Source organism: Homo sapiens, chromosome 14 (assembly GCF_000001405.40).
Source record: "Homo sapiens chromosome 14, GRCh38.p14 Primary Assembly".
Taxonomy (NCBI): domain Eukaryota; kingdom Metazoa; phylum Chordata; class Mammalia; order Primates; family Hominidae; genus Homo; species Homo sapiens.
This window is the reverse complement of record NC_000014.9, coordinates 103,925,570-103,937,741: the sequence shown is the minus strand read 5'-3', so window position 1 is coordinate 103,937,741 and position 12,172 is coordinate 103,925,570. Positions and strand designations below refer to the sequence as shown.

The window sequence follows — 12,172 nt, the reverse complement described above, 5'->3', positions numbered from 1 at the left end:
ATAATTCTTCAAACATTTCATCAACTAGTATTTTCTATCTCAGTAAATGACAGCACCACCCATGTACTCAACTCTACAAGCCAGAAATCTCAGAATCATTCTGGTCCCCCCTTGGGATGGGGGAGGGGCCAAAAACACAATCACAATCCAAAGGTAACTGGAAGGGCTGGGTTTTGGCTATCACAAACAAGACTGGATGGAGGCAGGAGTTCAGTACTTGGAGAAGGTTAAAAAGTTGTTTAAAAGACTAGAGAGACTGGGAAAGAAGGGAGGGGAGGGCTGCTTTAGCTACGGAGGTCACAGGAAACTCCTCTAAGGAGGTATCTGAACAGGGTCCCAAATGAAGAAAGGAGCCTGCAATGGGAAGGGAGCGACGGGAAGCACTGAATACAGAAGAGTCAGTGTGGAAGCTGCAAGGTGGGAATTAGCTTGCTATCTTCAAGACACAGAAAAAATGCCAATGTGACCAGAGCACAGCGAGAGCAGCAGACAAGGAGATGCCCAATGGAGGAACGCTCGCCAAGCCTAGATGCAGAGTCAGATGAAATTTTATCCTAACAGCAGTCGATGCCACAGGAGATCACACATGTGCTCAAAGAACCTCAGGTGTGAAGGTTTACTCAAGAATTTGTTCATTCAACAATTGTTTTTAAAGAGACAGGCTCTTGCTCTGTTGCCCAGGCGTGCAGTGGTGCAATCATAGCTCACTGCAGCCTTGAACTCCTGGCTTCAAATGATCCTTCTGAGTCAGCCTGCCAAGTAGCTGGGACTACAGGCAGGCACCACAACACCCGGCTAATTTTTTAATATTTTGTAGAGACAGGGTCTCCCTATGTTGCCCAGGCTAGTCTCGAATTCCCGGCCTCAAGTGATCCTCCCACCTCAGCTTCCCAAAGCACTGGGATTACAGGCATGAGCCACTATGCCAGGCCATCATTCAACAAATATTAACTAAGCATCTACATCATGCCAGGCATTCTTCTAGGTGCTAGATTACTGGGGAGTAAGGTTGAAAAGTCAGGAGACCAAACATAGAAGGTTTATGCAATAATCCAGGCAAGAGATGACAGCAGTGGTTTGGTCTAGAGTGGTGACTATGTAAACTGTGAGAAGCACCCATATTCTGGAAATATTTTATCGTACACTTGCCAGGATATTGTGATTTTTATTGTTTGATTGTATACCCATATACACACTCTGATACACTCCTTAGGAAAATCCACCATGGCTTGAGGAGTAAGACAGAGATTTATGATTCAATCAAGACAGGACTGCATGAGGAAGCAACTCTCACCATGTCTAGAATAAGGACATGACATATTGTAAGCATTCAATAACTGGGGTCTCCTAGGTTGAGCATGGTGGCTCATGCCCATAATCCTAGCACTTTGGGAGGCCAAGGTGGGAAGATCACTTGAGCCCAGGAATTTGAGACCAGCCTGGGTAACATAGTGAAATCCCATGTCTCCAAAAACATTTTTTTAATTTGTCAGGCATGGCAGCATGCACCTGTGGTCCCAGCTACTCAGGAGACTGAGTTGGGAGGATCAAGGGAGGATCACTTGAGCCCACGTCAAGGCTGCAGTGAAACGTTATTGTGCCACTGCATTCCATGTGGGGCAACAGAGGGAGACCCCATCTGAAAATAATAATTATCACCAGTAATTACCTTGCTTCCATTTTCACATGGTAAATAGGTAACATCACTCTGCCACACTTATCTACTCACCAAATGCCCTGCCCTCCCTCTTGTAAAAAAAAATTATTATTATTATTGTGACCTCCTAGGTCATTCATTCAAACAAATATCTGAGTTCCTACTATGTCAGGTACTGCACCAAGAGGTGGAGATTCCCTGATAATCTGTACCCTTAATAAGTTCTTATGTGGGAAAAATAATATACAAAATCATTCCCATGAAAGTGTTAAGATATGCGTGTGCAGGGCACTAAGCAAGCTGTTGATTAAAGTGGGCCTCACTCACCTGGTGTCCCTCTGACCACTTGTTCTCAGTCTCCTTTTCTCACTGCAACTCATCCACCTATAAACACTGAAGCACCCCAGGTGGGCCCTTCTCTCTACACCCACTCACTAGGATACATCCTAGTTAAGGGATCTCATCATTCTCGAAGTTAAACTTCCCAGTGTCTAGCTCTGCCAGACTTCCTTCCTCAACTCCAGACCACCTACATGTACTGCTGTCTAACAGGCATTTTAAAGTGAACATGTTCAAAATCAATCCTGGTATCCCCCCACAAACTAATTCCTCGTGCAGTCTCGCCTTCCTTACCTGAAGGCAACACCTGTCACTTGCTAGGCCAGAAACCTTGGTGTCACCTGTGATTGCTCCCCCACTCACATCCTACACTTGCTCCAGCTACAGAGTCCTTGCCTCTAGCTTAAGAACATGTCCCAAATGCCACCATTGCTTACCACACCCCACATCCTCCACTCTCAGCTACCTGCCTGGTCTAAGCCACCATCCTATCTCTTGCTTGAATGATGTGTCAGTCATAGTTCTCTAAAGAAACAGAATCAACAAGATGTGGAGAAAGAAATTTATTTTAAGGAATTAGCTCCCATAGCTATAGAGGTACAAGTCCAAAATCTGCAGGATAGGCCAGCTAGCTGGAGACCCAGGAAAGGGTTGCAGTCCGAGTCCAAAGTCAGTCGGCTGACACAGTTTCTTCTTGGTCAGGGAAAATCAGTCTTCGCTGCATTCAGGTCTTCAACTGACTGGACGAGGCCCTCCTACCTCAAGGAGCATCAACTGCTTTACCCAAAGTCCACAGATTTGCAATGTTAGTCTCATCTAAAAAACACCTTCAAAAAACATCCACAGTAGTGTCTGACCAAATATCTGGGCACTGTCACCCAGCCAAGTTGACACACAAAGTTAACCATCACAGAGGACATCAAGAGATTCTTCCCTGACCACCCTGCTCCTGTCCTTGCCCCACTTCAATCCACTCACCTCTGTCGCCCAGGCTGGAGTGCAGTGGCGCCATCTCAGCTCACTGCAAGCTCCGCCTGCCGGGTTCACACCATTCTCCTGCCTCAGCCTCCCGAGTAGCGGGGACTACAGGCGCCCGCCCACCACCACGCCCGGCTAATTTTTTGTATTTTTAGTAGAGACGGGGTTTCACTGTATTAGCCAGGATGGTCTCCATCTCCTGACTTCATGATCCACCCGCCTCGGCCTCCCAAAGTGCTGGGATTACAGGCATGAGCCACCGTGCTCGGCTAGGACATACCTCTTGATCTCCTGTTAGCTCCGTGACCACACCTATTCTCTCCCTTTCAAACACTCTACTCCAGCTGCACATAGTACATACAGAGAACATGCACCAGCACTTTTTTAATCAATGGGAAAATTACTGAATAAATGAAATCTGTTAAACGACCAAAAGGTCTTAAAAATGTGGACTTTGGCCAGGGCAGTGGCTCATTCCTATAATCCCAGCATTTTGGGAGGCCCAGAGGAGAGGACTGCTTGAGCCCAGGAGTTTGACACCAGCATAGGCAACATAGTGAGACACCATCTTTACAAAAAATAAATTAGCCAGGCATGCTGGCACGTGCCTGTAGTCCCAGCTACTTGGGAGACTGAGGAAGGAAAATTGCTTGAGCACAGGAGTTCAAGGCTGCAGCGAGCTATGCACAGCAGCACTGCACTCCAGCCTGGGTGACAGAGCAAGAAAAAAAAAAAGTGGATTTTGTGGGTGAACAGAAAATAGGAATTCTTGGAGAGTTACAGAGTCATACACTAACATCTATGTGAGGCCTGAATACCAAAAGGCAACAAGACAAAAAGAAAAAAGCAACATGCCTTGGAGTCCAACACACCCATTCTACAATATAATAGGTATGTGGACTTAGGACAAAGTAAACTTCAACTTCTCTGATCTTAACTTCCCCCATCTGTCAGAAGGGCCGAGACGGCTCATTTCCTGTGTCACCTGACACAATGCCCAATACAGCAGGCATTCAACTTCAGTAAGAGACAAGTGCAAAAACCAAGACTTAGGGACCTGGGCCAGATGCGGTGGCTCACACCTGTAATCCCAGCACTTTGGGAGGCCGAGGCAGGCAGATTGCTTGAGCTCAGGAGTTTGAGACAAGCCTGGGCAACATGGCAAAACCCTGTCTGTTTTTTTAAATAATATTTTTTAAAATAATAATAGTAAAATGAAATAAAATAAAATAAATTAGGGAACTAGAAGAAAGTAATCACCAGATAGTGGAAATCTGAAAGCTTCCTATGATGAAGGCTTCCCAAAGACAAAGAACATTTTAATAAGGTGTTGAACAGTCAAAGACACAAAAGCGAGAATTAAGTAAGATCTTCATGAGCCAGGAGTTAACGTGAGCTGTGAAGACAGGAAAGTACACGGCAGAAAGCACAAAGAAACACAAGGCAGAAGGAAGCTGGGAGTGACGCAAGGCTCCCAGCCATGGGCTGCAATCCACAGGAAAGCTGGTGCTACACACTGGAGAATGCTCAAAATGGTATATCACAGCCACTGAGGTTTTCTTCTTCATATGCCAAGGTGAAGACACGAGAATGTAAGGATAACAGAAAGAATAATCACCATCAAAGAGTAAAATACAGTACCATGTGGAAGAGGAGACATGGGGAAATCCGTAAAAATCACTGGAAACAAAATTTATAAATTGTTCCCCACAGGCACTCCGGCAACACCTTCATCGTGAGTAAGGTGTTACTCACCTTCAGCATGAGCAAGATTCATGCTGGGACCCACAGGCGCCCACACCATCTCCGGCAATTCTTGTCTGAACTACCTATGATGTAGTCTGGCATTTTCTATTTATTTTTTAATGCTGGTGGTCACTACTCATTAAGCTGATTAAAAAAAAAATTGCCCATGTTCTTCTGCTGATTTAAGCTGATTTAATCATTAAGCTGATTTAACAACACTCTCTCAGACCGGACTGCAGTGACTTGGTGTACACTAATTTTACCATTGAGTGACTATCTCTAACAAATACATTTTAACTGTGCAATACCCTATGCTTATAAAAGCCATCCCTCCCGGCCGGGCGCAGTACCTCACGCCTGTAATCCCAGCACTTTGGAAGGCCGAGGCAGGCAGATCACGAGGCCAGGAGATCGAGACCATCCTGGCTAACACGGTGAAACCCCGTCTCTACTAAAAATACAAAAAATTAGCCGGCTGTGGTGGCGGGCGCCTGTAGTCCCAGCTACTCAGGAGGCTGAGGCAGCAGAATGGTGTGAACCCGGGAGGCAGAGCTTGCAGTGAGCCGAGATGGCGCCACTACACTCCAGCCTGGGCGACAGAGCGAGACTCCGTCTCAAAAAGAAAAAAAGCCATCCCTCCCCTATGTCAAATGTTCTCTCACTAATGTCAATGCCTCACTCAACACTCTCCTTCACTGGGAAAAATAACATTCAACAAGTATCCAAGTATCCACTATGTGCCAGGCACCGTGCGGGGTTCACAGGTCGGCTCACCCCAATCCGAACCCAGCTCTGCCACCAGATTTGTACCCTAATGCAGTGCTGCCTCAACAAATCGCAAAAACATAGCAGTTTCAAACAAGGCAAATTAATTACAAGTCCAGGTGAACTCAACTGGATCCCCTGCTTAGGGTTTCCTAAAGCTAAATCAAGGTGTTAGCAGAGTTGCGTTCCCTACTGGCAGTGCATTCAGGTTGTTGGCCAAAACCAGGCCCTTGCAATTGTAGGATCAGTCCCTTGCAAACTCAGTCCCTTGCAATTGTAGGACTGAGGTACCCATTTCCTTACCTGCTGTCAAGTGGGATCCAGTCTTTGCTCCTAGCTGCCCATATTCCATTCTCATGCTTTCCATGTGGCCCCTCCGAGCAATGATATTTCAAATCTCTCATTTCAAATTTATCTGACTCCAGCCTGAGAAAGTTCTCTGCTTTTAAGGGCTCATGTGATCAGACTGGGCCCACTCAGACAATCTAGCTAATCTTCCTGTCCTATGATCTGTAACCTTAATTACAGCTGCGAAATCTCTTTCACCATGTAACATTACATAGTCACAGGTTCCAGTGAACATCTTTGGGGGAGTCATTCTTCCCATCACCACCATTTGCTACAGGAAGTTGGGCAAGTCACTTTACCACCAAAACCTATTGCTTCATCTACAAAATCATGAAAGAATCAGTTGATGATAAAGCCATCAACCTCAAAGTGTTGTTGTGCGGATTCAATAATATAGCTATATTTAGCTGAGTGCCTGCTACGTGCTGGAAACTCTGGCATTGAATACATATGCACCTAGAGCCCAGGAAGCTACTTCCAGAAGAATTTCATCAAAACTAGCACTACTCATAGACCAACATTGCCTGTCACTGGTTAAATACAGAAGTTAAAATGTTTACATCAATTTCACAAAGTAATTTTACATATGTTGAATTTTTTTTTTTTTTTTGAGACAGGGTCTCATTCTGTCACCCAGGCTGGAGTGCAGTGGCACAATCTCAGCTTACTGCAACCTCTGCCTCAGGGACTCAAGCAATTCTCCCACCTCAGCCTCCTGAGTAGCTGGGGCGGCAGGCACAAACCACCATGCTGGGCAAATTTTTGTTTTTTTTTTTGGTAGAGACAGGGTTTCACCATGTTGGCCAGGCTGGTCTTGGAACTCCTGACCTCAAATGATCTGCCCACCTTGGACTCCCAAAGTGCTGGGATTACAGGTGGGAGCCACCACACCCAGATTGAATCTAATAATTTTTTAACTGCGATTAGTATGTTGTCTTTTTTCATTTCATTGCTCTGAAAATTCATTTTTATTGATTTTATAAAAGTCTCAGTCCATGAAGGACTAGAAATCTTAAAAACTTGTCCTTAGTGCTTAAAATGGCACTTAAATCTATACTTTCTGACAAGGTCAATAATAATTTACTTCCAATATTACAATGGGTTATTTAATAGCAATGCTGTTCACACCGTTAAAACTAAGGAGTAAGTGATGGACCATTAAGTAGGGGAGGCGGCCCACAGGATCATTTACCAGAGTAGCTCAAGGAAGTAAAGTGTGCAAACATACAAACAGCAACTCCAAAGTTGCACAAGGGGTCTCTCGGTCCCCCCTATGCCTCTAAGAACCAAATTTACCAAAGATCCCAAAGGTGTACTTGAAAGAACTCTACAAAGGCTTGAAGCAACCCACGAAAGCTTGACCCAGAGTCTGGGCCTATCCATCAAATCAGACAAGACTAACAAACAAGAGTAACTTTAAAAAAGAAAAATAAAGCCAGGCACGGTGACTCACACCTGGAATCCCAGCACTTTGGGAGGCCGACATGGGTGGACCACAAGGTCAGACCGACCTGGCCAACAAGGTGAAATGCTGTCTCTACTAAAAATACAAAATAAGCTGGGCGTGGTGGCACACGCCAGTAATCCCAGCTACTCGGGAGGCCAAGGCAGGAGAATCGCTTGAACCCAGGAGGCGGAGGTTTGTGGTGAGCCAACATTGCGCCACTGCACTCCAGCCTGGGCAACAAGAGCGAAACTATGTCTCAAAAAAAAAAAACCAAGAAAAAGAAAAACAAAACCACCTTCTCAACTGTAAAGCGTGCTGGACTTGGGGACTGAGCAAGAGTGACGGAGATACTCCAAGCTGGAAGTACTTCTCCCAGGGCCTTTTTAAAGAGCGAGAAGAGGGAGCAGGTGTTTCTACTCACCAAATCTACGTCTTTCCTCTAAAAACAGAGGATATACTCTTGCTTTTTATTTCCACCCAAATCAAGTGAACAGAGTAACTGATGGTAGCTACTTAAAGAATAGTGAGATGAGGAGGGAGTCTGTGAAACTTAACAAAGATTCAGCATTTGCACTCCTTGGTATTTACCCAATGAGTTGAAAACTTATGTCCACACAAAAACCTTGCCAAAACTTGGAAGCAGGCCGGGCGCAGTGGCTCACGCCTGTAATCCCAGCACTTTGGGAGGCTGAGGTGGGCAGATCACCTGAGGTCAGGAGTTCTAGACTAGCCTGGCCAACATGGTGAAACCCTGTCTCTATTAAAAATACAAAAATTAGCCAGGCGTGGTGGCATATGCCTGTAGCCTCAGCTACTCGGGAGGCTGAGGCAGGAGAATCGCTTGAACCTAGGAGGGGGAGATTGCAGTGAGGCGAGATGGCGCCACTCCACTCCAGCCTGGGTAACAAAGTGAGACTCCATCTCGGGGGGTGGGGGGAGAACTTGGAAGCAACCAAGCTCTCCTTCAGTAGGTGAATGGAGATAAACTGTGGTACATCCAGACAGTGGAATATTAATCAGTGCTAAAAGGAAAGAAGCTATCAAACCATGGAAAGGCATGGAGGAACCCCCAAATGCATACTAATACTAAGTGACAGAAACCCATCAAAAAGGCTACACATACTGTGTGATTCCAACTAGATGACAGTATGGAAAAGCAAAATTATGGAGACAGTAAAAAAATCAGTGGTTTCCACGTGGTGTAGGGAAAGGGAGGCAGGAACAGTGGGGCCGAGAAGATCTGTAGGTCAGTGAACTCTGTAATGCGTGACGTTAGGCGTTTGTCCAAACCCACAGAACGTCCAGTACGAGGCGTGAACCCTCCTGTAACGATGGCCTCCGGGTGACGAAGACGCAGCGATGCAGGTTCGCCGACTGTCACAAATACCCACACCTTACGCAGATGCTCACAGGGGAAACTCTGGGAGGGAAGGGGCCTATGGGACCTCTGCCCTCCGCTCCGTTATCCTGAAAACCTGAGTGCCTCAAAAACTAGTCTGTTAAACATTAAGAACTGAAAAAAAAAAAAAAAAAAAAACCTCTAGCTCAGCTTCCTTACAGGCACCGCTCTGGGCCGCGCGTCGGGTTGTGTAGTGACCACTCGCCCTGGACGGTCAGGGGTCCCTGGAGCCCCGCGAGAGGGCACGGGCTCGCGAGAAGGATCTGGATGGCCCGTGCCCTCGTCGCCAGGCCTCGCCCGGCCGCCCTCCAGCCGCCTCCGCCCCGCCCGCGTCCTACCTTTCGAACGCAGCGGCCGGCCGGGCCGGAGCTTGGGCCAGAGCCGGAGCCTGGGCCGCGGGACCAGCGCCGGGGGCCACGTCCTGGCGCTGCACCTCCTCCCTGGCCGCCCCTGCCGGGAAGGCGGGCGGCGCGCCCAGCAGCTCCACATTGGTCACCGTCTTGCCGATGGTGAACCAGTCGTTGATCTGCTCGATGGTGAGCTTCCGCAGCATCCTCAAGGCCCAGGCGTCGGCATCCCCCAACTGCCGGGTCTCCGCGGCGGGAACAGGCGACGGCGGAAGCGCACCCTGGAAGCCCCGCCCCCGCTCGAGGCCTTCCAATCAGAACGCGCCGCGCGCCCTTGTGGGCGGGCTCCGGCCCGGGCGCGTGCTGCCCGCGCTGCCTGGTCCTCGTGCCGCCGGCCCCGCCCCGCCGCGCTAGGCCTGCCGGGAGCCGCCGCCCCGAGCGAGCCCAGGGTGAGCCTTTCTAGGACCTCAGGGGAAGCTTGAGCGCCGCGGCTGGCCCGGGAGTCTGTTTCACGGGAGTTCCGTGGCAACCCCTGTGTGTACAAGAAAATGCCCTCCGGTCACTCCCTGGCCTCTCTATTTAGAGGCTGCTGCCTCGGAGGTTTGTGCGCTTTGAGCGGACCGGGACCCTACATACGTTTCTTGAGCACCTCAGGGTGAGGAGATGGAAGGCAAACCAGAGAAGGGATTTGCGTTCGTGGGTCAGACGTACCAGGACATCCTTGCACCTAATATGGGGGGAGAGGGGCAAGAAGAAGGTCAGGAAGGTCTCGGAGAAAGTAACGCCAGGCAGACCCCTGCAGGATACGGGGGAATGCGCCAGACGGAGGACCACCCAGGGTTATAGGGGAGGGCAGGCGGCCCTGATGGCTGAGGTGAGGATCTGGGAGAAGTTCTTTGCAGCCGGATCATAACTGAATTCATCTTCCTTCCTAAACCGGTGTCTCAGGCGGCGGTGTCAGACTCACAGCTGGACACAAACAGGTGCGGACAGGAGGTCCAGGCGATCACATGGACCAAAGATACAGGCTGAGGTGGTCCCGGCCGAGCTCTAGAAGAGTGAGGGTGGAGAACAGAGCCCTAGCAAACTCCCCAAAAGAAGGAGCCGCGGGAAGAAATCAACAAAGGATGCACGGGAAGGCAGCCACGTGTGCAAGGGAAGGGAGGGTCAGAAGAGAGACATGGCCACCTGCCTGGGGTGTGTCCCCCTCACTGGCCAGGGCAGGATCTATCTGGCCCATGTGGGCTCTCAGGAAAGAGCCATGTGAACAAATACAGAGACGGTATCGAGAGCATGGCTCTAATCAGCAGTGTAAAGCCCAAGCAGTGGCAAATAAGAGGGCGGTTTGAAAACACTGTAGACAGAAATCAGGCAGGTAGGTTGAGCTATTGGTGTCTCAAAAATTGAACCCATAATCATACTAAGCCAGGAGTTCTGGCTCCAAATCCTGGCATAATGAGCTCTAGACCTCATATTAGGACTCTGCCAAATACGACAGGTTCCCAAAAGTGCCTCAACACACTTTGCCAGGAAGAAATAACTTGCTTTTCTTTTTTCTTTTGAGGCAGGGTCTCACTCCTGTCGCTGAGGCTGGAGTGCCGTGCTGCAATCAGGGCTCACTGCAGCCTCAACTTCGGGGGCTCAGGTGATGCTCCCACCACAACCTCCTGCATAGCTGGAACTACAGGCTCACGCCACCACCACACCGGCTAATTTTTTATATTTTTAGTACAGACAGGGGTTTCGCTGTGTTGCCCAGGCCAGTCTCAAGCTCCTGGGCTCAAGCAATCTGTTTGGGAGCCCTTGGCCTCCCAAAGTGTTGAGACTACAAGCATGAACCACCATGCCCAGTCATGTTTTTCAAAAAATAAGAAAAAAGGTAATCATAAAGTAATTGAGACTCATGGTATGTCATTCAGCATTGATTGGAAAATATTGTAACTTCACACTGTATGTGGAGGCTAGGACATAATTCAAAATTTTACAAAATATATTGAAACCACTTGAAGCAACTCCAGAACTCACACTTGTTTTGTTTTGTTTTTTGTTGTTGTTTTGAGACGGAGTCTTGCTCTGTCACCAGGCTGGAGTGCAGTGGCGCGATAGCTCACTGCAACCTCTGCCTCCCAGGTTCAAGCAATTCTCCTGCCTCATCCTCCGGAGTAGCTGGGACTACAAGCATGCACCACCATGGCTGGCTAATTTTTTGTATTTTAGTAGAGACGGGGTTTCACCATGTTGGCTAGGAAGGTCTCAATCTCCTGACCTCATGATCCGCCCGCCTCGGCCTCCCAAAATGCTGGGATCATAGGCGTGAGCCACCGCGCCTGGCCTGTTTTTCTAGGATGTTGCTGTTACCGTGTGCTGTCATCCTTTGTTGATGTCACAATGAATACGATTTTAAGTGGAAGATGCTTTTCAAAAACATTTTCTGGGGGGCATTTTCTATATTCTTTGATCTTTTGGGCTACTAGCTAATCCTTCTGAGTTTTGATTTTTTTTTTAATTGCAATCCAAAGATACTCTCTTGATGCTTCTTTGGAAATTTGCCAATTTGGAAAGTTGCCATAGTGTTTCCTGACCAAACACTAGTTAACATTCTGAATCATCACAGACTGAATGGCTTTGAGCACCTTTCATTTGATTCAGTAGTTCTCGGTGCTCCCAACTCACTTGGTCAAGTTCACCTTGCATTGCTGTCCAAAGTTCAGAGTTAAAAGAAACAGCTTGGGCTGGGCGCGGTGGCTCACGACTGTAATCCCAGCACTTTGGGAGGCTGAGGTGGGCAGATCGTGAGGTCAGGAGTTCAAGACCAGCCTGACCAACATGATGAAACCCCATCTCTACTAAAAATACAAAAATTAGCTGGGTGTAGTGGCGCGCACCTGTAATCCCAGCTACTCGGGAGGCTGAGGCAGGAGAATCGCTCGAACCCAGGAGGTGCAGGTTGCAGTGAGCCAAGATCGCACCACTGCACTCCAGCCTGGGCGGCAGAGCAAGACTCTGTCTCAAAAAAGAAAAAAGAAACAAGAAACAGCTTGACATCAGATAGATCTTCATGGACTTGTCACATCTAGGCCAGAACACATGGGAAGGCCACTGAACCCCTAGTGAGCCATGGTATTTTGGGAAGGTTTTGCATATTT

General features: G+C 48.3%; 1 protein-coding gene across 11 annotated transcripts in view; it reads right to left on the bottom strand.

Moving 5' to 3' along the window:
• Positions 1-9,286, bottom strand: part of TDRD9 (tudor domain containing 9) — a 124,212-nt gene extending 114,926 nt beyond the window's left edge. For 9 of the 11 annotated variants that reach the window (XM_006720019.4, NM_153046.3, XM_005267309.5 and 6 more), the window contains exon 1: positions 9,018-9,286. In XM_006720019.4, coding sequence (XP_006720082.1) covers positions 9,018-9,232 — 215 coding nt within the window. In that variant the 5' untranslated portion in view covers positions 9,233-9,286. Of the gene's footprint in view, positions 1-5,788; positions 5,907-9,017 lie in introns of those variants that run through there. The other 2 variants (XM_011536398.4, XM_047430911.1) reach the window with 1 other exon arrangement.
• Positions 9,287-12,172: the final 2,886 nt, after the last annotated feature.